Genomic DNA, 25,293 nt, shown 5'->3' with positions numbered 1-25,293 from the left:
TGTATTTCCCTGATTACTAGCGTGGTTAAACATGTAATTTTATATTTATTGGCTCTTGGAATTTCTTCTCTTGTGAATTGTCAGTGTATATCCCTTGCCCAGTTTTCTAAAAGGTTGTCTTTTTCTAATCGATTTGTGAGAGTTGTTTATATATTCAAATTATGAATCCATTGTCTTTTATACATGTTGTAAATAGTCCACGCTCTTTACTGGAAGGTTTTAAGGAGACGAGTGACACCTGATTTACATGGTTAAAAGATCACTCTGGCTATGATATGAAGAATTGAAGGGAGGGGTGGGCATGAATGGAAGAGGGGAAAGCAGTTTGGAGGTCATGATAGTGGCCCAGGGAGCAATGATGGTGGCTTGGACTAGGGTGATGGGAGCGGAAATAGGGAAAAGTGACAGTTCCAGGGTCCGTTTTGGAGGCAGAGCTGTCAGCACTTGCTGACGGATGGGAAGTGGGTGAGGAGAACAGATAAGAATCAGGATGACTCTTGGTTTTTGGCCTGAGCAACTGGGTGGATGTGATACCATTGACTGGGATGGAGGATGACAAGTGGAGAAACAGGTTGAGGCTGGCAATAGAGGAATCAATAGTTATGTTTTGAACACATTAAGCTGAGACAGCCTGTTGATAATCCAGTGGTTAAGTCAAGTAGCCAGTTGGATCTATGAGTCTGGAGTTCAGGGCCCCAGCCAGGGCTACGGATAGACATTTGGGAGTCATTGATATGTGGATGGAATTTAAAGCCACGAGATAGGATAAGATGGAAAAGGCCTGGGGTTCTCAGTGGAGCCTCAGTACATGACAATATTTCGAGGCTGAGCAGAAGTGGAGAATCAATAAAGAAGACTTGCCCCAGAATGTCACTCTCTGAGGGCAGGAGTTTTGCTCTGTTGACTGCCTACTACACAGCATAAGGCTTGGCACATAGAAGCCTCTTAGTAAATACTTGCAGAAAGAACACATAAATGAAAGAAGATACTGAGAAGTGGCCAATGAGGTAGGAGGAGGAGCATAAGGCATCATGGAAGCCAAGAGAGGGAGAAAGCTTTCAAGAGGGTGGGAATGGCCAATTATGTTGAATGTTGTCAAGAAGTTATGCAGGAGCTAGACAGAGAAGTGACCCCTGGATCTGGCAACATAGAGGTCACTGGTGACCTTGACAAGGGCAGCTGAAGCTGGAAGGATGAAGAGTTTGCCAGGTTCTGGGAGGTAGCGGGCAAGGTGGTGTGGGAGGGCCATGTGAAAATGCCAGAAGAGAAAGTGGGGCCGGTCATGACTCTCTTCACTCTTGGTTTTCCTCTTCTCTGCAGTGGTTTCCTTCTCAGGCAGGCTGCTCACTCATGGCGGCAAGATGGCCCCCTCTAGGTCTGGGGCTCCATCCCTTCCTTAACAACTCCAGCGGAAAAGCCAAACTCATTTCCAAACTTTCAATCAAATGAAGTCTCATTGGCTGTGCCTGCTGGTCACGTGTCATTTCTGAACCAATCATGATGGTCAAAGGAGAGTGCTCTGCTCTGATTGGCCAGGCCTGGGCCATATGCCCTTCCCTATAGCTGGGGTGAAGATTTTACAGAGGCAATTTTCCTTTGGAAAATCAAGGTGCCAACATAAGAAAGGGATGAGGAAGGGTATGATGGCAGATAGGCAAACCCACAGAAGTTAATGATTCCTGGTAGATTTGTAGAGTATCAGAATAACAAAAATAAAAAGGAAGTACCTTAAGAGATTCCTTAATCTAGTGAAGTTCAATGGCAGTAGAATATGAAGCACATAGGTAACTTTCTTTTTTTTCTTTCCTTTTTTTTTTTTTTTTTTTTTTTTTTTAGATAAGAGTCTCACTCTGTCACCAGGCCAGAGTGCAGTGGCACGATCTCGGCTCACTGCAACCTCTGCCTCCCAGCTTCAAGCGATTCTCCTGCCTCAGCCTCCCTAGTAGCTGGGATTACAGGCGCCTGCCACCGTGCCTGGCTAATTTTTTTATTTTTGGTAGAGACAGGGCTTCACCATCTTGGCCAGGCCAGGCTGGTCTTGAATTCCTGACCTCGTGATCCACCTGCCTCGGCCCCTCAAAGTGCTGGGATTACAGGCGTGAGCCACCGCGCCCGGCCGCACATAGGTAATTTTCAATTTTCTAGTACCCATACTAGAAATGAAGAAGAGAAACAAGTGAAATTAATCTTAATAATAAATTTTATGTAACCCATTCTGTCTAAAATATTATAATTTCAATATGTAACCAATATAAAGTATTACCTTTTTTTTCAAATAAGTCTTCAAAATCTGTTACGCTTACAGCATATCTTAGTCCCAATGCTACATTTTTCTCAGAAAATACTTCTTTTATTTTGAGACAGGGCCTTGCTCTTTTGCCCAGGCTGGAGTGCAGTGGCATGATCACAACTCACCACAGCCTTGACCTCCTGGACTCAAACCATCCTTTCACTTTAACCTCCCTAGTAGCTGGGACTACAGGTGCACCCCACCACCCCTGGCTAATTTATTTTTTGTAGAGACAGTGTCTCCCTATGTTGCCAGGCTGCGACATACTTGATCTGTGTTCAGATTTTATTACATTTACAGTTGAGAATGATAGGTTCATGTATGTAAGTTATTCCAAATGCACTTAAAAATTTGGCCAGGTGCGGTGGCTCACGCTTGTAATCCTAGCACTTTGGGAGACCAAGGGGGTGCGGATCACTTGAGGTCAGGAGATTGAGACCAGCCTGGCCAACATGGTGAAACCCTGTCTTTACTAAAAATACAAAAATTAGCTGGGCTTGGTGGCACGTGCCTGTAGTCCCAGCTACTTGAGAGGCTGAGGCAGAAGAATTGTTTGAACTTGGGAGGCGGAGGTTGCAGTGAGCTGAGATTGCACCACCGCACTCCAGCCTGGGTAACAGACCAAGATTCTGTCTTAAAAAAAAAAAAATTCTCCTGTCTGAAGCTTGTATCTGGTTTTAAATTTAAATTAATTAAAAATAAATGAAGTTTCCAATTCAGTTCCTGAGGGTCACCAGCCACATTTGAAGCGAGCAGCTACCGGATTGGATAGTGCAGCCCTGCCTCCAACACGTTCACCTGACCCACGGGCAACCGAGGTCCAAGGAGGGCGTGGTCTGCCCAAGGTCACTGAGCTGAGTGGGACCAGGACCCAGGTCCCCTGACTCCATCACAGCTGTTCCGCTCCACTTCACTGCCTGCCCTATTTTCATCAGGACAGCAAGCAGCGACCCAAGAAGCAGCAGTTTCAGCAGTGGAGTCAGAAGGCACAGCCTAACAACATATTCCTGCTCAGACAGTAAACTTCTTAGCGTTTCTTTATTTTATGTGAATCTTGCCTGTGACCATTCTCCACCACTGGATGATATACATATGTGTGGAAAGAGTGCATAAACGACTTTAGCAAGCATCTATTGAGCACCTACTGTGTTTCCAGCCCTGCACCTGGCCTTAAAGATACGGAGATGAAGACAGCCCAGCTCTGGTCCTCGGGCAGCTCACCTCTGGTCCAGGGAGGGCAGAGTGGTCAGCCCCTCACTTAGGGTGTGCAGAGGGTGGCGTGGGGTCTGATACAGAGCCGTGCAGAAGTGCTGTGGGAGTGAGCAGATTGCATGCCTAGTGTATGAAAACCCCAGCAAGCAGCCTCCTGGGCTGGCGGAACCAGCTGGAAGGGACCTTGGGAAAATCCGTGGGGAGCCCACATGTGGAGCTGCTGGGCCTCGGCCTGTGGGTGTGTGGTGTTTGGGTAACAGCCCAAAGGCTAGGAGGGTTTGTTTTTGTTGTTGATTGGAACTGAGAGGGGCTATTGTCAGGCAAAGCCTCAGCTTATTGGTGTGTGGTGTTGGCTCAGGACTGTGGGGTGGGTACTTGCTGGGGTGCAGTTGCTGTCAGTAACATCCCTTCATGGAGCACCCATTGCAGCATCCCTCTCCCCCTCCTTCACACATGTACACACTTGCACGCTCCCACACACACGTGTGCATCGCCAGTTATAAAATTTAATTTGCAGAGCCCAGGACAAAATGAAAATGCAAAGTCCCTTGATCAAAAGTTAAGAATTTTAAGGCCGCGACAGTAGATTGTTTAGACAAGCACAGGGGCCTTCTAATGGGCCCCGGGTGGCTGCACAGGACACACGTCGGAGAAGCTGGCCCTGCACACACACAGACACACAAGGTCCCCCACTGTTTGCACTGGCCTGTATCTTCCCTTCTCTCCACCCACTGTGAGGGAGGCCAAAGGCATGCCAGCTAGTGCTTTAGAGGTTTATTATCTCATGTCATCTGTCAACATCCGATGTCAATAATGGCTATCATGCCCACTCTCCATATGAGGAAGTGAAGATGAGAAGGAAGATCTGGGATTCGAACCCAAAACTTACCTGAGTCCAAAGCCCAGGCTTGTTCCATGCACACCCTGCCCCCACACCACACAAAGAGGAATGAGCCACCTCCTTTTTTGTGTTATTTCTGATGTTTTTCTTTCTGTTTCTTCCTTCCTTCCTTCCTTCCTTCCATCCTTCCTTCCTTCCCCCCTTCCTTCCTTCCTTCTTTCTTTCTTTCTTTCTTTCTTTCTTTCTTTCTTTCTTTCTTTCTTTCTTTCTTTCTTTCTTTCCTCCCTCTCTCTCTCTCTCTCTTTCTTTCTTTCTTTTCTTTCCTTTTGAGACAGAGTCTCACTCTTTCACCCAGGCTGGAGGGCAGTGGAGCAATCTCGGCTCACTGCAACCTCCACCTCCTCAGTTCAAGTGATTCTCCTGCCTCAGCCTCCCAAGTAACTGGGATTACAGGCATGCACCACCACGCCTGGCTAATCTTTTGTATTTTTAGTAGAGATGGGGTTTCACTATGTTGGTCAGGCTGGTCTCGAACTTCTGACCTTGAGTGATCCACCGCCTTGGCCTCCCAAATTGTTGGGATTACAGGCATGAGCCACTGTACCTGGCTTATTTCTGATTTTTTTCTAATATTCTTTTCCTCTGAAGTTTTAGGTGATGAATCTGGTAGAAAAATGGTGTCACCAAATTCCTCTAGACTTGTGGGGTCACCCTTCCCTTCCATGAGTCCCTATCATGAAGACCCGTGGTGTCCCCACCCGGCCCAGATTCCCAGGGATTCCCAGAGGCTTATGTTTCTCCGGGCCCTGCAATTGTTCTCTTCTCTCCACCTGACGTGTACTCACGAGCAGCTCGATTTTTCCTTTATCTGCTTCTCAAGGCATCACTCACTTGAGCAGCACAGGCTTCTTATTGAGATTTGGGGTCAAGGTTTGGGGATGAAAATAGATGTTCATCTTCTTAGCAATTTCTGGGCCACCACCACCTCCCAGGACTCCTTCCTGGTGGGGTTTCCCCTGAGCTCTCCTTCCATGGTAAAGGACTTCCTTAACCCTCTCCATACTGTCTTACTTCTGTATCTTTTCTCTGGTTTCCAGGCTGCCTCTTCTCCCTCTTTCTGGAGGATACCTCCTTCCTTCCTTCCTTCCTTCCTTCTTTCCTTCCTTCCTTCCTTCCTTCCTTCCTTCATTCATTCATTCATCAGTCCTTACAGAGCATCTAGTATGTGCCAGGCACTGTATTTGGTACTGAAGACACAGAGAAGAACATGATGGACAAGGCCCTGCCCTCATGGGCTCCCAGCCTGATGGGAAGATGGACCTGAAATGCCTGAAACAACCACACAGATTAACTTCTGTGTTTCTGGTCTGATAAGTGCTATGAAGGCAGAGGATGGAAAATTAGGACAAGAAAGGGAAGACTCATTTTAGATAGTGTGGCATTTAAGCCAAGACTTGAAAGAGGAGCAGGAGCCAACCTGGGAAGAGGAGGGTCTTTAACCTGGGAATAACCTGGGCAAGAACCCGAGGCAAGAAGGGGCTGGGGATCTATGCGGAATAGGAAGGGGGGCCAGGGTGCTTGGCCTGGAGTGAGCAGGGGGCAGTGAGCGAGATGCACAGAAGAAGGACTGAGAGGAATGACATTAAACTTGGGACAGTGGTCACACATGAGGAGGGACAGGTACTGGGGTGGGCAGCGGGTGGTTAAAGGTGAAGCTGACCTTCTGTGTTTTGTTTGAATATTTCACCATGAGTCTGCCTTCATGCATTACTTGTGCAATGAAAAAGTTAAAATTAGACCTAATATATATTCATTGCTGATCCTTTGAAAATGCAGCCTTGCCAAACGAAGGGGAAAAAAACACAACACTACACCCGAAGATAATCATGTTAAGATCTTACTGACTGGGTGCGGTGGCTCATGCCTGTAATCCTAGCACTTTGGGAGGCCGAGGCAGGTGGATCGCTTGAGCTCAGGAATTTGAGACCAGCCTGTGTAATATGGCGAACCCCCGTTTCTGTTAAAAATACAAAAATTAGGCTGGCTCGGTGACTCACGCCTGTAATCCCAGCACTTCGGGAGGCTGAGGCAGGCAGATCACTGGAGGTCGGGAGTTCGAGACCAGCCTGGGCAACATGGTGAAACCCCTGTCTCTACTAAAAATATGACAATTAACCAGGCGTGGTGGTGCACGCCTATAATCCCAGATACTTGGGAGGCTGAGGCATGAGAATTGCTTGGGCCTGGGAGGCGGAGGTTGCAGTGAGCCAAGATTGCGCCACTGCAGTCCAGCCTGGGCGACGTACAAGACTCTGTCTCAAAAAACAAAACAAAACAAAACAAAAAAATTAGCCAGGTGTGGTGGCATGCGTCTATAGTCCCAGCTACTCTAGAGACTGAGTAAGGAGCATCACTTAAGCCTGGGAGGTCAAGGCTGCAGTGAGCAGTAATGGCACTACTGCACTCCAGCCTGGATGACAGAGAGACCCTGTCTAAAAAAAAAATCTTATTACATCTTTCCAAATCTTTTCTATATTTTTCTATGCTTAAAAAGTAAACATATGACTCCGTTGAATATACTGTCTTACAATCTGCTTTTTTTAACGCTTTATGCTATATTGAAGATATCTTTCCATGCCATTAAATATTCTCCCAAGACAGGTTTTCTTTTTTTTCTTAATGAACGCGTTGCATCATGCTGCTTGGATTTATATTATATATTTAAATCCCTTCATGTTGACACACAGCTCATTTAAAAATTTCCTTTATTATATACAGCCTTGGAAATGCATCTTGATACAGCTGTCCCATTGCTCATTTAGGATAGTTTTATTAGGAAAGTGTGCCAGGCTAAAGCCACTTTAAAGCTTTTGATAGACATTGTCCATATGCCTTCCGCAAATGGGGAGCTCACTGAAGTCTGAACAAGGCAGTATGTTCCCAATAAACCCCTTTGCCTCAAGCTTTTCAAGAGGAACTTCTGATGTAGATGGAGAAAATATTCCTAAGGGAATCAATGGCCTCTCCCCGACAGGAAACATTCAGAGAGGGAAGAGATCAAGATCTGTCTGAGTTGGTCTCCAGAGGCAGAGCTGCTCAGGCGGTCTTTTGAGGTCCCTTCCAGAACTGGATTTTAGGTTTCAATGACAACAAGACAAACTGTGGAAGCAGCATCAAGGATCAAGATTAACCTTGACCTCTGCTGTGAGTGCCAGGGACTCTGGGTGGGTCTCCAAAGACTTTGCCTCCAAGAGCTCAGGCAGGAGTTTCCACAGATATCCACAAGATGCCAGGCATTTTTGTTTGTTTGTTTGTTTGTTTGTTTTTTGACAGCGTCTCACTTTGTCACCCAGGCTGGAGTGTAGTGGCGCAATCACGCTCACTGCAGCCTTGACTTCCGGGGCTCAGGTGATCCTCCCACCTCAGCCTCCTGAGTAGCTGGGAACATAGGCATGCACCACCATGCCCAGCTAATTTTTTGTATTTTTTTTTTGTAGAGGTGAGGTTTTACCATGTTACCCAGGCTGGTTTTGAACTCCTGAGCTCAAGGCCACCACCCACCTGATTGCCTCCTTGGCCTCCCAAAGTGCTGGGATTACAGGCGTGAGCCATCGCCTGGGCATTTTTAAGAGACAATGAAAAAGCCTCATGATAGAAAGGTTCTATGAACCAAAAAGGTGACAGCAAACTCTTTGGCGTTGCCTTGGGGCTGAAGCAGCCTTGCCCTCAAGCTATGGAGTCTGCACATGGCTCCAAGGGTGGGTCTAGGGGCAGCTCCTCCAGTGAGTCCTCAATTCTCCTCCTTTATACAAAGTCTCCATCTAACTTTCTTCACTCTGCTTCTTCAGTCCAGTGCACACAGCATATTAATAACAACAACCTTCCGTGTGACCCAAACATGCATCAGAAGCAGCCATCACCCCTGAGACCTTCAATTGCTTCTCCCTACTAGTCCCTGCTTTTTCTGCAAATACTAAGTATATTAACACACACAATGAAATAATGATATCATTATTGGCTCTCTCATCCCACAATCACTTCCTTGATAAAATTAAGAACATCCATCCATATAAAACATATCATATGTGTGACATATAAATAATAATAATAATAATAATAATAATAATAATAATAATAATAATAAATCCATGTACCTGCGATTCAGCTTTGGAGAGCTGACATTACAAGTTTGTGAAATCTTTCCCCATGACTTCCTCAAGCTCTCCTCTCCCTCTTATCCAGAGGTAATGATTGCTTTGATTTTTATGTTTATTATTTCTTTGCCCTTTTCTTTACTGATTCCTCACAGATAGTTGCGTTCCTGAACAATATATTGTCTAGTTTTGCATGCCTTTGAACTTTGGAGAAATAGTCTCATATGTAACATACGCATTTTTTTCATTTGGAGAATTTCTACCATATGTGTTTTCTTATAGCGTGTGTGTTTTTGCTACACATTTTTCATTCACGTTGTTGAGTATAGCTGTGATTCATTCATTTTCGCTGCCATGAAGTAGTTTATTGTATTTTTGTTTGTGTGTTCGTGTAGAGACAGGGTCTTGCTCTGTCAGCCAGGCTGGAGTGCAGTGGTGTGATCATAGCTCACTGCAGCCTGGAACTCCTGCCTTCAAGGACTCTTTCTGCCTCAGCCTCCTGAGTAGCTAGGACTACAGGTACGTGCCACCATGCCTGGGTAATTTTTGAAATATTTTGTGAAGATGAGGTCTTGCTATGTTGCTCAGGCTGGTCTCAAACTCCTGGACTTAAATAATCCTCCTACCTCCACCTTCCAAAGTGCTGGGATTACAGGCATGAGCCACTGCGCCTGGCCCTGTACTGTATTAATAAACCACAGATTATGGATCCATTCTCCTCTTGATGGATATAGGATTGCTCTCATCAATATCTGTTATATCTCTTGATACAAGTGTGTAAGGGTCTGCAGGTGAAGTACACAGAAATAGAAATTCTGGATAGGAAGTTATGTGCATTTGAACTTGACCGGACAATACCATGTTGCTTTCCAAAATGTTTATATGAATTTACACTCCCCTAAGCAATACATAAGAGCTTGCATTGTTCCACAGCCCTTACAACACTTGAGGTTGCCAGACTTTAACATTTTTGCCAACTTGGTGGGTGTAAGTTGGCATAAAATGGAGGCTTTAAACTTGCATTTCCCTAATTTCTAATGAGCTTGGGCATCTTTTCATGTTTATTGGCAATACTTGTTTCCTTGTCTCCACAAGGTCTAGCTATGTTTTTAGTCCTTTTTCTTTTGTGTTGCTTTTTTTGTATTGATTCTTCAGGAGCATTTTACATATTCTTATCCTAATCTTAGGTAAATTATATGCATTCTAAGTATCATTTCCCAACCTGTGACTTGTCTTTTCATTTTCTAGATGGTGTTTTTGTGTGTGTGAACAGAAGTTATTTTTTGGGGGGGAGGGGTGGGGGGATGGAGTCTCACTCTGTTGCCAGGCTGGAGTGCAGTGGCACCATCTTGGCTCACTGCAACCTCTGCCTCTCAGGTTCAAGCAATTCTCTTGCTTCAGCTTCCCGAGTAGTTGGGACTACAGGTGCATGCCACCATGCCCGCCTAATTTTTTGTGTTTTTAGTAGAGAGAGGGTTTCACCATGTTAGCCAGGCTGGTTTTAATCTCCTGACCTTGTGATCCACCCGCCTCGGCCTCCCAAAGTGCTGAGATTACAGGCATGAGCCACCACACCTAGCCGAAGTTCTTATTTTTAATGTAGTAGAGTTTGTTGATACTTTCCTTTATTATTTGTGCTTTTTGTGTCCTTTAAAAGAAATTCCTCCTTCCCCTGAGGTTACAGAAGTACTTTTCCTTTATTTTCTTCTAAAAGTTGTGCCTTATGCATTTAAGACTTTAATCCATCTGGAATTGATTTTGTATAGAGAAGGATACAATTTCAGTTTTTTTCCATATGGATAAGTAACTACATAAGCTATGTTTATTGAATAGTTCATATTTTACCTTATTTTGCAAAACCATGTCATCTACAGATCACATTTTCATTTATTCTTGAGTCTGCTTCTGGACTCTCTAGTCTCATTCACTGTCTATGTGTCTATCCCTGGGCCAATTCCACACTATCTTGATCACAAGTGCTTTAAAGCAAGTCTTAATTATCACTTTATGTTCTCTTGAGACCTGGTAGACCAAGCCCTACTCCTTGCTATTCTTCTTCAGGAATGTCTTGGCTCCTTTTGACCCTTTGCTTCTAAATTATAGAAAGAGATTGTCATATGCCATGAACACCTTGTTGGGGTTTAATTTGGAGCTGCATTGAATAATAAATTAATTTGTACAGATACTATTTTTATAGTTAATATTTACTAATAGTTACCTATCTCTTTGCCTCTTTTTGCCTCTTATTGTTTTATCTTGCATTTTAGACCTTACATTGGGATCATTTTCCTTCCTCCTGAGGTGTATCTAATAAACTCCTTTGATGAAGGTTTGTTGGTGGCCAACACACTCAACATTGCTTTGTTTGAATATTTTGTCCTTGTTCTTGAGAGATAGTTTTGCTGGGTACATCATTCTAGACTCTTATTTTCTATTAGCCCTTTCAAAATATTGTTACACTGTCTTCTGGCTACAGTTGTTACTGTTGAAAAGTCAGCTGCCCACTAGTCCCTGTTACTTTGTTGGTAATCTGTTGTTTGTCTCTCTGACTTTCTTTCTCTCTTCCTTCCTTCTTTCTCTTTCTTTCTTTTTCTTTCTTCTTTCTTTCTTTCTTTCTTTCTTTCTTTCTTTCTTTCTTTCTTTCTTTCTTTCTTTCTCTTTCTTTCTTTCTTTTCCTTCCTTCCTTCCTTCCTTCTTTCTCTTTCTTTTTCTTTCTTCTTTCTCTTTCTTTCTTTCTTCCTCTCTCTCTCTTTCTTTTCCTTCCTTCTTTCCTTCCTTCCTCTCTTTCCTTCCTTCCTTCCTCCCTCCCTCCCTCTTTCTTTCTTTCTTTCTTTCTTTCTTTCTTTCTTTCTTTCTTTCTTTCTTTCTTTCTTTCTTTTTCTTTCTTTCTTTCTTTCTTTCATTCCTGTCTCACTCTGTCACCAAGGCTGGAGTGCAGTTGTGTGATCGTGGCTCACTGCAGCCTCAACCTCCCATGTTCAAGCAATCCTCCTGCCTCAGCCTCCCAAGTAGCTGGAACCTCAGGCATGCATCACCATGCCTGGCTAATTTTTTAAATTTTCTGTAGAGATGGGGTATCCCTATATTGCGCAGGCTGGTCTTTAACTCCTGGGTTCAAGCAATCCTCCTGCCTCAGCCTACAAAAGTGCTGGTATTACAGGCATGAGCCATCATGCCTGGCCTATGTTTCATTTTTGACCACACGCTCCTGCAGGTTCATTATATTTAGATGTGGCTTTAAACTGTCATCTTGCTCTTTATTTCCTGCACTTCTTGAATCTGACAATTCATGTCTTTCATCAGTTCTGAACATTTTTTAGCTATCATCCTTTTGAATATTGCTTCTCTCCCATTGTATTAGTTTCCTGTAGTTGCTGTAACAAATTTCCACAGACTTGATGGCTTAAAACCGAAATGTATTCTTTCATTATTCTGAAGGTCAGAAGTACTAGATCAAAATTATTGGGTTGAAATCAAGATGTTGACAGGGCCATGCTTTCTTTGGAGGCTCTAGGGGCAAATTTATTCCTTGGCTCTTCCTGCTTCTGATGACTGTCAACATTTCTTAGTTGGTGGCAGCTCCATTTCAATCTTCAGGGGCAGCATTTTCAAATCTCTCCCTGTTCTGTCTTCATACAGACCTCTTTTCTGTGTGTTGTTGAGTCTCCATCTCTCTCTTACAAGGACTCATATGATTGCCTTTAAGGTCTACCCAGATGACCCAAGCTAATTTCCCCATCTTATGACCCTTAACTTAATCACCTCTGCAAAGATCCCCTTCCCTGTTTTGCTGCATAAGGTAACATTCACAGGTTGTAGTGATTAGGACATGGATATCTGGAGGGAGGGGATTTTTAATCCTACCACACCCATCTTTTCTGAAAATTTCTGAATTTTTAATCCTACCACACTCATTTCCTTCTGAAACTTCAATGAGATACATGTTAGATATTCCCACTCTGTCCTCTATGTCTTTAATCTCTTTTTCATAGTTTATAATTCTGTCTCTGTGCTGCATTCTGGACAGTTTCTTCCAATCTATCTTCCATTTTCTCCATTATCTTTTCAACCCTATATCATCTGCTTTTTAATCTAGCCACTGATTTTTAAATTTCAATTAATATATTTTTATTTCTAAAAATGTTATTGGGTTCTTAAAAATGATCAGAGAAATGAGCCAGTACCTGGAGGGACATGTAGGGTCAAAAAAAAAAAAAAAGTGAGGATTGAGAAATTATCTTAAGGTAAGAGTATTAGTCTGTTCTCATGGTGCTATGAAGAAATACCTGAGACTAGGTAATTTATAAAGAAAAGAGGTTTAATTGGCTCACAGTTCTGCAGGGCTGGGGAGGCCTCAGGAAACTTACAATCATGGTGGAAGGGGAAGCAAACATGTCCTTCTTCACATGGTGGCAGGAAAGAGAAGTGTAGAGCGAAGTGGGGAAAACTCCTTATAAAACCATCAGATCTCTCGATAACTCACTCACTATCATGAGAACAGCATGGAGGTAACTGCCTCTGTGATTTAATTATCTCCCACTGGGTCCCTCCCAAGACACATGGGGATTATGGGAACTACAATTCAAGATGAGATTTGGATGGGGACAAGGCAAAACCATATCAGTAAGGTAGAGATTTGTATGGTGAGGAGAATGACCCAGCAGACAGGGGCCAGCTGATGGATGTCCTTCCTAGCTGAAGAGGTCCAATACACAAGAGGAGGAATTGGTCTCAGGCAAGAGTGGGAGAGTTCACTCATAGCAACAAAAGGAACCACAGAGCACAGAGGCACATAGGTTGGGAATGAGGGGATGGATGGGTGTGGGCTGTCTCTTCTGGTTGCTTCTCTTCTTCATAAGTAGCAAGGAAGGTCATTAGCTGAGATGGGGGATGGGGAGGAGGTGTCAGAGCTATGGGAGAGGGAAGGTGTGAAACGGTCATTTAGGAGAGTGGGAGTGTGAATGGATTGGGAAATGTAGTGGAATTACCTGGCAGCACGAGAGACCCCAGGGAGCAGCAGAGGGCTGCATTTAAAGAGATACTGTGCTGGGCTTGGTGGCTCACACCTGTAATCCCAGCACTTTGGGAGGCCGAGGCGGGTGGATCACTCGAGGTCAGGAGTTTGAGATCAGCCTGGCCAACATGGTGAAACCCTGTCTGTACTAAAAATACAAAAATCAGCCGGGCATGGTGGCAGGCACCTGTAATCTCAGCTGTGAGCTGAGATCATGCCATTGCACTCCAGCTTGGGTGACAGAGTGAGACTCCACCTCAAAATAAACAAATTAAATAAATAAATAAATAGAAACTGATCTACATAGTTGTGTTTTTCCAGACTACAGATTTGAACAGCCCCTTCCCTGCTTAAATCCCTCATTCACTCCCCCTGTTCCAAACTCCTTTGCATGGCACTCAAGACCCTCTATGACCCCAGCCCTACTAGGTCCCCACTCCTTCCTTTTATGATCCAACAACTCAGAGCAACCTGTATTTCCCTAAACATATTTTGCACCTCTCTGCCATGGTCTTGCTGTTCCCTCTGCCTGGAACGCCCTTTCCCAAGCCGACCCTCCAACAGTGAGGCTGTCCATGAAACTGGCTTCACTTCTGCCTCCTACCCCTCACCCCACAATTTTCCAACAGACTTTTCATGCCTAATATTCCTCCCATAAAACTTCATTGCCATCAATCATTGATGGTTCTGCCTCCTCCACCAGGCTGGGGGTTTGTCAGGGGCACAGACTGTCCTGTTCTCTCCATGTCCCCAGCATCCTGCACCAAGCAGGTGCTAAGACAATGTCCATTGAGAGGACTGACTGATGACTTCTAGAGGAGAGCTGGGTCAGCCCAGCAGGGGTGTTACCCACAGGGCCATTAGTGCAATCATTGCACTGTGGAGAAGAGCCGAGAATAGTAGCTAGAAGTAGAGCCAAGACCTGAGGTCAGAAGAAAGCAGGCCATGCTCTTAAGTGGAGGGCAGGGAGGGATGGGGGTAGGAGGCTGAAGGAGCCACATGGTTCACAACACACGTCTGCAAACTCAGAGCACCTGGCAGGATGGGCCTGGGCTGTGACCTGGTCCCTCGTTCTGGAAGAGGTGCAGGCTTATCTGGGTGAGGGGAGCAGGCTGAAGCAAAGCACTTTCCTCTGGGACTTCTCTGGTAATTACAGGCCTCTGAAAGCAGGAGTGATGTGGAATCTCCCAGCCCGTTTCCAAAGAATCAAAAGTTCGACTCTCATCCAGCGTTTAACTCTGCCCTCAGGCAATCAGGTCAAATGGGGATCTGAAGACAGCTTGGGGTAGGGCAGTGCCCAGGGGTCAGGCTGCTTGGTCCCCACAAGCTGCTCTGCATAAAAGGGAGATGGTAAAAATGACATATCACCCAATTACAAAATGGACAAAGGATTTGAATAGTCATTTCCAAAGAAGATTTTCACATGGAAAGCTGCTCCACTTGCTTAGTGCTTTGCATCCTTAGGGAAATGCAAATCAAAACCGCAGTGAGATACCACTTCACACCCACCAGGACGGCTACACTGGAAAGACAGATAATAACAAGTGGTGACAAGGTGGTCAAGAATTGGAGGCTTCATCCATTGTGGTGGGAATGTCAAATGGTGCAGTGTCTTTGAAAAAGCATTTTCACAAAATAGTAAACAGAGTTACCATATGATCAGGCAATTCCACTCCTAAGTCTGCTCAAGGAAAGTGAAAACAGATGTCCACACAAGTACTTGTATGTGAATGTCCATAGCATGTTGGCTATTCACAATAGCCAGAGAGTGGGAACAATTCAAATTCTATCAATAGATGAAGGGATAGACAGAATGTGGTGCATCCATATGATGGAATACCACTTAGCAATAAAAAAGAATGAAGTGTTGAAACATTTACAACATGGACGAACCTCAGAAGCATTATGCTAGGTGAAAGAAGCCAGACACAAAAGACCCTATGTTGTATGTGATATGGTTTGGATGTTTGTCCCCTCCAAATCTCATGTTGAATTGTAATCCCCAATGTTGGAGGTGGGGCCTGGTGGGGGGTGTTTGGATTGTGCGGGGTGGATCCCTCATAAATGGCTTAGTGCCATCCCCTTGGTGATGAGTAAGTTCTCGCTCAGTGAGTTCACACGAGATCTGGTAGTTTAAGAGTGGCATTAACCACCCCCCGGCCCCGTTACACCCTCTCTCACTCCTGCTGTTACCATGTGACTCACATCCTCCCCCTTTGCCTCTGCCATGATGGAAGCTTCTTGAGACCCTCACCAGAAGCAGATGCTGGTACCGTGCTTCCGTACAGCCTGAAGAACCATGAGCCAATTAAACCTCCTTTCTTGATAAATTACACAGTTGCAGATATTCCTCTATGACATAGCAAAAACAGACTAACACAGTATGACTCCATGTATATAAAATGTCCAGAATAGATAGATGTATGGAGACAGGAAATAGTGAAATAAGTGAAATTGGAAATTAATGAGTGCCTAGGACTGGTGGGAGGTGTCCATGGTGGGAAAATGGGGAGTGACTGCAAATGGGCAATGTTCTAACATTAGATTGTGGCGATGGTGGCCAAACTCTGCAAATAGACTAAAAAAAGTTGAATTGTCCACTTAAAATGGGTGAATTTTGTGGTATATAAAGCGGTTTTTTTTTTAATGAGTAAGAGTTTTTTTTTTTTTTTTAATGTTGCCTATGTTGGCCTCAAACACGTAGCCTCACCTCTTTATGCACCAGGATAACTGGCTTGAGCCACCGTGGCTTCCTATTTTTTATTTTTTATTTTTGAGACAGAGTCTTGCTCTGTCTCCCAGGCTGGAGTGCAATGGCATGATCTTGGCTCACTGCAACCTCCACCTCCCAGATTCAAGTGATTCTCCTGCCTCAGCCTCCTGAGTAACTGGGATTACAGGCATGCGCCACCACCCCTGGTTAATTTTTATATTTTTAGTAGAGACGAGGTTTCACCATGTTGGCCAGGCTGGTCTCCAACTCCTGACCTCAGGTGATACGCCTGCCTCAGCCTCGCAGTGCTGGGATTACAGGTATGAGCCACCGTGCCCGGCCAATAAAGCTGCTTTAAAAAGAGAGGAGAGAAAAAAAATAAGAAAAAATAAATAAATAAATAAAAAGAAAGGAGATAGTGATGCCCATCTTTCAAGGTTGTTGGGGGGATTAAGTGAGAAATCATGTGGATGGTGCCTGAGTGCCTGGAACACAGTAGGAGCTTGTAGCAGGTGCAGTGGGTGCCTCCACTGTCCCTCACCCTCATTGGCAACAGCACACACCCCATTTCCAGCTGCCAGCCCCTTCCACCTTTTGCCTGGGATTTTTTCATGCTGCCTCCGCAGGTATAAAGTGATGGGGAATTAACACTCCTCCATCACATATGTAGATAGCAGCCCTCTGTAAAGTGGCAAACGGGAGTTGGTGTACGAAGACCCCAGATCCCTCGGCTCATGTTCTCCAGTGGCTCCCAGGATCCCCCCATTGGGAAGGAATGAACACTAGCTGTCCGCGGAGGTGGCTGTCTGCCTTCCTTTTTCTGTCTCACTTCCTCATCCTGGGATCACCTCCCCAGTTTCACCATATTGGGGGGTTTCACCATATTGGCCAGGCTGGTCTCAAACTTCTGACCTCAAACTTCTCACCCCAGTAAGCGACATATTCAGGTACACGAAGCCTTGTATCAGATCAGCTTTTGGGGGCACCCTGGCTTAGGCAGTGCTCCCAAGCACTAGTTGTGATTATGGTCCTATGGGGGCCAGATGAGTCTCATGACCCCTGCTGGCCCATCCACATCTTGTTCCCAGTGTGCCCCACAAGCCTGGTCTTTCTATTCTCCACCCTGAGGAGGTGAATATAAGGAATGACTTACGCTGAAGGAGCTGAGGCCTGGAGAAGGAAAGACGGGGTCCCAAGGATTCCCGTGAGTCACTGGAAGTGCCTACACTGAGGATAAGGGCCGGTTTGGCTGGGTGCGTTGGCTCATGCCTGTAATCCTAGCACTTTGGGAGGCTGAGGCAGGCAGATTGCTTGAGCCTGGGAGTTTGAGACCAGCCTGGGCAACATGGCAAAACTCTATCTCTACAAAAAATACAAAAATTAGCCTGGCGTGGTAGCGTGAGCCTGTAGTCCCAGCTACTGGGGAGGCTGAGGTGGGAGGATAGCTTGAGTCCGGGAGGTCGAGGCTGTAGTGAGCCGTGATCACACCACTGTACTCCAGCCTGAGAGACAGAGAGAGATCTTTTCCCAATAAATAAATAGATAAATAAATAAAAGAGCTGGGTGAAGTAAAGACTTACAATTGTCCCCCTTATCTGAGAGGGCTACATTCCAAGACCCCCAGTGGATGCCTGAAACTGCAGATAGTACTAAACCCTATATATACTGTGTTTTTTTCTATACATACATACCTATGATAAAGTTTAATTTATAAGTTAGGCACAGTAAGATATTAACAACAGTAAAAGTAAAAGAGAATAATTATAACCGTATCCTGTGATAAAAGTTACGTAAATGTGATCTTTCTCGTTCCCTCAACAACTCTTATTGTGCTGTACATATTCACCTGTGTTCAGGCCACTGTTGACCAGGGGTAACCAAAACTGCGGAAGGTGAAGCTACAGGGAAGGGCGGATGACAGTACTTTGTGCCTGGCTCTGTGTGCAAAGCACTTTCCAGTGCTTGTTCATCCTCATGGCCACTCTGTGAGACAGGATGCTACTATTCCCATTTTACTGAAGCTCAGAGAGGTGAAGTGCCTTGCCCAAGGTTATACAGCTATTAAGTTGTGAGGTTCACATTTGAACCCAGGGCCGGAGCTCTTCGCTATGGTGTTATACCCGGGCTTTCAGGCCTGTTTTGCAGCTGACCCACCTCCTTTCCATTTAGACGGATGGGGACTCTGGTTTGACTGGGGAGGCTCGGCCTTGCTCTGCCTCCTGCTACCTTGGCCCCCAGCCCAGCTGCGAGGACACCATTCAGGCATGTCTTTGGCTGGGTTTTTTTTTTTTTTTTTTAACAGATTTATGTTTAGCAGGGAAGCCCACTCACAGGAGAGAGGCTGGGGCTGGACCAGGAACAAGGACGCTGCTGTGGCCTTGTTTGAGGTCCCACTGACTCAGGAACAAGGCAAGCCTCTTAGTCTGTTTCCTGGCTCATAAACCAGTGTTTATAGGGTACTCTTCTCTGATTTCCTTCCCTTCCTTCCTCTCTCTCTCTCTTTCTTTCTTTCCTTTCTTTTTATTTTATTTTTTTTTTATTTTTTGAGATGGAGTCTCTCTCTGACGCTCCGGCTGGAGTGCAGTGGCATGATCTTGGCTCACCACCACCTCTGCCTTCCAGGTTGAAGCGATTCTCTTGCCTGAGCCTTCCGAGCAGCTGGGATTACAGGGACCCACTACCATGCCTGGCTATTTTTTTTTGTTGTTGTTGTATTTTTAGTACGACGGGGTTTTACCATATTGGCCAGGCTGGTCTCAAACTTCTGACCTCAAGTGATCCACCTGCCTCGACCTCCCAAAGTGCTAGGATTACAGACGTGAGCCATGGCGTCCGGCCTGTCCTCTGATTTTCAAGGGGCTGGAAGGGACACCGCAGGGGCAGCTCCTGGCATGGCCCTGGGACCCCCGTGAGAAAGCAGACTTGTACTTGGGCAGGCTAGTACAAGTTTGCTTGTGCTCAGTTTGCTTGATTCAGCTGGGAGCAGGGGTAGGGTGGAGGTGAGGAGGAAAAAGATGGGAGGGAACTCACCTTTACTGAGTATCTATCCCATATCTGACACTGCATTAGGCACTGGGGAGTTGTCCCCTTAGGCAAGAGCCAGTCTCCAGTCCCACAGAACCCCTGATCGATCAACTCCAGGGTGTGTGGGAGGGGAAAGAAACTGACAACTGCAAATACAGTGCAGTATAACAGCAAAAATTTATCGAGCACTTACTATGTGCAGGGGTTTCACGGGTGTTATTCAATCCTAACACTGATGCCAGGCACAATCTACTGTCACTGCACCCATTTTACAGATGAAGCAGCTGAGGCAAAGAGAGGCTCAGTCACTTGTCTAAGAACACACAGTTAGAACTAGGAGGAGCCAGACTGGAACCCAGGCTGTTTGGCTCCAGAACTTGCAGTCTAAGCTGCCCGTTCTACGGTCTTATCAATAACAGGAGGCACGGAGGCAGCACGGGGGACAGATCTCCTCTGTTGGGAGTGAGACTGGAGAACACAGTGGTTTCCATACTGATGCCTGATTGAGGCTTTGAAAAATGAATAGGAGTTAGGTATAAAAGAGGCAGGGAGGGTTTTCAGCAGAAGGAACAGCCTGTGTAAAGGTAGAATCCTGAGCTAGCACATTAGGCTGGGGAAGTTGTAACTGGTAGTGATATTACTTGGGGACGGGTTTGGGAGTTACAATTCAGGATCGCTGGAGCATCAAACATAAGCAAGGGAGAGGTGAGGTGAGGCTGGAGACCAGGCTCAAGCCGCAGAGGACCTCTCCTGTCCTGCTAAAGTGTGTGAACTTTGTATAAGACACAGTTCCCTCCCCAGGGGCCTGTCCTGAGCTTGAGGAGACGAGCCACATTATTAGGAAATGATGATGAATCCACGGCTTCCTCCCATAGAGTGAGGGCAGAAGAGGAAGGGCTGCAGTCCCAGCTACTCGAGAGGATGAGGCGGCAGCATCTCTTGAGCCTAGGACTTCAAATCCAGCCTGGACAACATAGAGAGATATCATCTCTTAAAAAATAAAAATAAAAAATAAAAATAAAAAAGAGAGATAGTGGGAAGTGTGTGGGGGACATGCAGAACGGAGCGGGTGTGAGTTGTGGAAAGAAAGCTCAGTAAAGCATATGTTATTTTTAGCCCTGTGTATCCTCCTGCCCCTTTCAAATCTAACTTGATTTCAAATCCCTGCTTGCTGCTGACTAGCTGTGTGACCTTGGGGAAGCCACTGAACCTCGCTGAGCCTTAGTTTCCTCCTCACCTATAAACTGGGTGGAAATAAATGATGACAATCTCCCAGAGTTTCAGTGACGAGTTCACTGGATCTTTGCCATATCACCAAGATCTTTGCCATATTAGCTAACCACCTCCACCAGGAGGTGGCAAACTCTTTCCATAAAGGATTAAATAATAAATATTTTAGACTTTGCAGCCCATTGTCTGTTGCAACTACTCAACTGTGCCATTGTAGCAGGAAAGAAGCCTTACACAAGAAGTAAACTAATGAACCTGGATGTATGCCAATTAAACTTTATTTATGGACCCTGAAATTTGAACTTCATATATTTGTCACTACCACAAAATATTATTATTTTTAGAGACAGGGTCTTGTTGTGTCACCCAAGCTGAAGTGTGTGGTGTGCTCATAACTCACTGTAACCTCAACCTCCTGGGCTCAAGTGATCCTCCCACCTCAGCCTCCCAGGTAGCTGGGACCACAGATGTACTCCACCATGCCCAACTAATTTTTAAATTGTTTGTAGCAATGGTGTCTTGCTATGTTGCCTAGGCTGGTCTTGAACCCCAGGCCTCAAGCTATCCTCCTGCCTCAGCCTTCCAAAATGCTGGGATTACAGGTGTGAGTCACCATGGCTGACTCACACAAAATAGTATTCTTCCTTTGATCTTTGTTCCAGCCATTAAAAAATGTAAAATCCATTTTTTTTTTTTTTGAGGCAGAGTCTCGCTCCATCACCAGACTGGAGTGCAGTGGTGTGATCTCGGCTCACTGCAACCTCTGCCTCCCGGGTTCAAGCAATTCTCCTGCCTCAGCCTCCCAAGTAGCTGGGACTAAAGGTGACCGCCACCACGCCCAGCTAATTTTTGTATTTTTAGTAGAGATGGGGTTCCACCATGTTGAGCAGGATGGTCTCGATCTCTTGACCTGGTGATCTGCCTGCCTTGGCTTCCCAAAGTGCTAGGATTACAGACGTAAGCCACCATGTCTGGCCATAAAATCCATTCTTAGTTTGTGAACGGTGCATAAACAGGCAGTTGGCCAGATTTGACTCGACTCATAGTTTGCAGACCTGTGACCTAAATTATTATATATTTTTTAGATTCACCTTTTACTTACTTAAACAATTCCTTTGAAAAGGAAATTTTCATCATACCAACGTCACTTAACATAGATACAAGATGGCCATGTAACTATGATAGGCAGGGTGCGGTGGCTCATACCTGTAATCCCAGCACTCTGGGAGGCTGATGCAGGCGGATCACCTGAGGTTGGGAGTTTGAGACCAGCCTGGCCAACACAGTGAAACCCCGTCTCTACTAAAAATACAAAAATTAGCCGGGCATGGTGTCACGTGCCTGTAATCCTAGCTACTCAGGAGGCTGAGGCAGGAGAATCGCTTGAACCCGGGAGGCAGAGGTTTCAGTGAGCCAAGATCGCACCATTGCACTCCAGCCTGGGCAACAGAGTGAGACTCCGACTCAAAAAAAAAAATGATTAATGCAAATTTACATTATTAAATTCTCGACAGACCTCTCATCTGAGCCTGGGGCTTGTTCTTTCTTTGTTGAAGAGGAATACAGAGGTGTCAAGGACAGATGAGAACAAGACTGAGACTTTCTACTTGTTGAAATCTGCGAGAAAAAATGGGAAAGGAATGAATGAGAGGTTATCTCTTAATGTAAGTCAATGTTTATTCAATGCTTTGCCTTGTACAGCCTCAAATCATCTTGGGATCCACGGTGGGAGGCAGCACTGATGTGATGTCATCCAGTGCCTAGAGATGAGCCTGGCTCTATTACTGGAGACCGCTGGTGGCTGCATGGTGCCCTGAGTTATAACCAAGATTGCTGAATATCTGGGGAGAAAATTTCTGTCTCTGATCAGCCTCGGGGGCATGAGTCAACCTCTGCTAAGTGTTTTGAGCTTGCCTACTGACAAGTTGATGGCCAATGCAGAGAATTATTATTCTTAAGAAGATTGTAATCACAACTATGATGAATCCAGGTTGATGAGACATTAATGCCTGAAAGCTTTGGAGTATTTTTGAAAAGCATCGCTAAAATAATAATTGAAATCGCAACAAGGGGGAATCAAGAACATAAAAGCTGACTGAGATAACCTCGCAACCCCGCCTGCCTTTTCTAGACACCAGCTTGCTGGGGGGCTTCATGAGGCTTGTGAAGAAGACAGGACAAAAGAGTCAGGCTGTTGGGAATTTTAAGGTCCCAAGTGACATGATGCCTTCTGATGTTCCGGGCCTCAGTGGCCTCATCTGAGAAATGGGAATGATAATAGCATATGTGCATGGACCAGATGAGCTCTTCTGGTCCTGTTCCAATTCTGCCAGCTCTTACTCGATGAGATTCTTAACTCCTGGTACCCAGGTGATTGCAGCATGCCAGGTGCTCTCGTTCTGGGAGGAGTACCTAACTCAGGGGTAGTAAACGCACTGCCTGGGGGCCAGATCTGGTCCTTAGATGTTTTTTATTTGACTTGTATAGTTAAATACTTATAAACAGCTTTTGAGATTTATTACATATGGTAAAGTAATAACACAGACAGAAACAAGTACAATACTTTATTAACTGGCTCAGTGAACTGTCACCTAGCAGACACTGGGGTAACCACCAACCAAGCATGGCTGGCCCCTCAGGATTCACCCTGGGCCTCCTTCAGTCACTTGACACTGTGCTGTACTTTTTTTATTTTTTTTGAGACAGAGTCTTGCTCTATCGCCCAGGCTGGAGTGCTGTGGTGTGATCATAGCTCACTGCAGCCTTCACCTCTTGGATTCAAGAGATCCTCCCGCCTCAGCCTCCTGAGTAGCTAGAACTATGGGTGTGCACCACCATGCCTGGCTGATTTGTAAATTTTTTGTGGGGACAGGGTCTTGCCATGTTGCCCAGGCTGGTCAACTCCTGGACTCAAGCAATCATCCCACCTTGGCCTCCTGAAGCACTGGGATTACGAGTATGAGCCACTGCACCCAGCCTGTACTTTAAAATATTATTATTATTTTTAGTTTGGCCATGTGCTACCTTGCTGTCTTCTTAAGCTGACACTAAATTATGTTGTTGTTTTTTCACACCTATTCTGCAATTCTCCGACACCAACTGAGGGTCCAATAATTCAATTCAATTCCGACAGTAACTACTTGGAATGCATGCGGACTGCACAAGTGAAGGGCTCAGTCCCCCAAAACTGCCTGACTTCAGACACTGGTCCCAGGAGATCACCCAGACTTCTGACCAATTGGCTACAAATCGAGAGTTCTCCTGACCCCGCCTCAGGCTCAATATTTCACTTGCATGACTCGCAGATTTTAGGAAAACACTTCATTTATGTTTGCTGGCTTGTTACAAAGGGTACAACTCCGGAACAGCCAGATGGAAGGTACTGGTGGAGGGGCGCAGAGCTTCTGTGTCCTCTCCCGGCCCCCTACCCTCCCACCCAGCACCTCCATGTGTTTACCAACTCAGAAACTCTCTGAACCCCATTGTTAAGGGGTTTTTATGGAGGTTCCATTATTTAGGCATGATTGATTACAATCTTTGGCCATGGGTGATTAAATTCCATCTCCAGCCCCTCTCCGCTTCCCAGAGATGAGTGGTGGTGCTGAAAGTTTCAACCCTCTAATCATGGCTTGGTCTTTTTGGTGACTAGCTCTCATCCTGAAGCTCTTTGGGAGTCCCCTCACTAGCAAGCAAAGTACAGTAAATTCCGAGAAACTCAGAAACCCTGCTGAGAACTAGAAACCAGACAAAAAGATTAAATATTTATTTTTTAATTATTTCACAGAGTGCCTTTAAGCAAAGGCATGCACACTCCAATTTGCCACAGACTCCACCATGCCCCATTATTGCTCACTGCCCTATTCATAGATTTGTGTTGCCTGTTCAGCCTCTGTAGGCATTTGAAATTGTGATGCCTGCTTAATAGATATTATTTGCCTTAATAATAATTGAAACAGTCATTGTCATAATAATAGCAATGATAATGTATTAGTCCATTCTCACACTGTTATAAAGAACTACCTGACACCAGGTAATTTATAAAGAAAAGAGGTATAATTGACTCACAGCTCCACAGGCTGTACAGGAGGCATGGCTGGGGAGGCCTCAGGAAACTTACATCAAGGCGGAAGGTTGAAGGGGAAGCAAGCACACCTTCACATGGCAGCAGGAGAGAGAGAGCAAAGCAGGGAGCGCTGCACATTTTTAAACAACCAGATCTCATGAGAGCTCACAAGAACAGCGAGAACAGCAAGGGGGAAGTCTGCCCCCATGATCCAATCACCTCCCACCAGGTCCTGCAACACGTGGGGATTACAATTTGACATGAGATTTAGGTGGGGACACAGAGCCAAACCATGTCAAATAACAAAGTAGCTATCAACTGTTGGGTATTTATACTATTCCAGGGGCTGTGCTGAGCATGTCAGATATAGCATCTTGTTTAATCTTCACAGAAATTCTTCTAAGTTGGCCAGGCACGGTGGCTCATGCCTGTAATCCCAGCACTTTGGGAGGCCGAGGCAGGTGGATCACAAGGTCAGGAGATTGAGACCATCCTGGCTAACACGGTGAAACCCCGTCTCTACTAAAAAAAAAAAAAAAGAAATAGAAAAATTAGCCAGGCGTGGTGGCGGGCGCCTGTAGTCCCAGATACTCGGAAGGCTGAGGCAGGAGAATGGCGTGAACCCAGGAGGCAGAGCTTGCAGTGAGCTGAGATTGCGCCACTGCACTCCAGCCTGGGACACAGAGCGAGACTCTGTCTCAAAAAAAAAAAAAAAAAAAAAAAAAAAAACCCAAAAAGAAATTCTTCTAAGT

At 45.4% G+C, this 25,293-nt stretch overlaps 1 long non-coding RNA gene across 3 annotated transcripts in view; it reads left to right on the top strand.

Moving 5' to 3' along the window:
* The window catches only part of LOC105376815 (uncharacterized), an 83,235-nt gene extending 58,147 nt beyond the window's left edge, over nucleotides 1-25,088 (top strand). The window contains exon 3 of one of the 3 annotated variants that reach the window (XR_001737918.2): nucleotides 21,993-25,088. This is a non-coding gene — a long non-coding RNA (uncharacterized LOC105376815). Of the gene's footprint in view, nucleotides 1-3,010; nucleotides 3,420-21,992 lie in introns of those variants that run through there. The other 2 variants (XR_947015.2, XR_001737919.2) reach the window with 2 other exon arrangements.
* Nucleotides 25,089-25,293: the final 205 nt, after the last annotated feature.

Source organism: Homo sapiens, chromosome 1, assembly GCF_000001405.40.
Source record: "Homo sapiens chromosome 1, GRCh38.p14 Primary Assembly".
Lineage (NCBI taxonomy): Eukaryota > Metazoa > Chordata > Mammalia > Primates > Hominidae > Homo > Homo sapiens.
The sequence above is the reverse complement of the archived record's forward strand: the minus strand, read 5'-3'. Positions and strand labels throughout refer to the sequence as shown.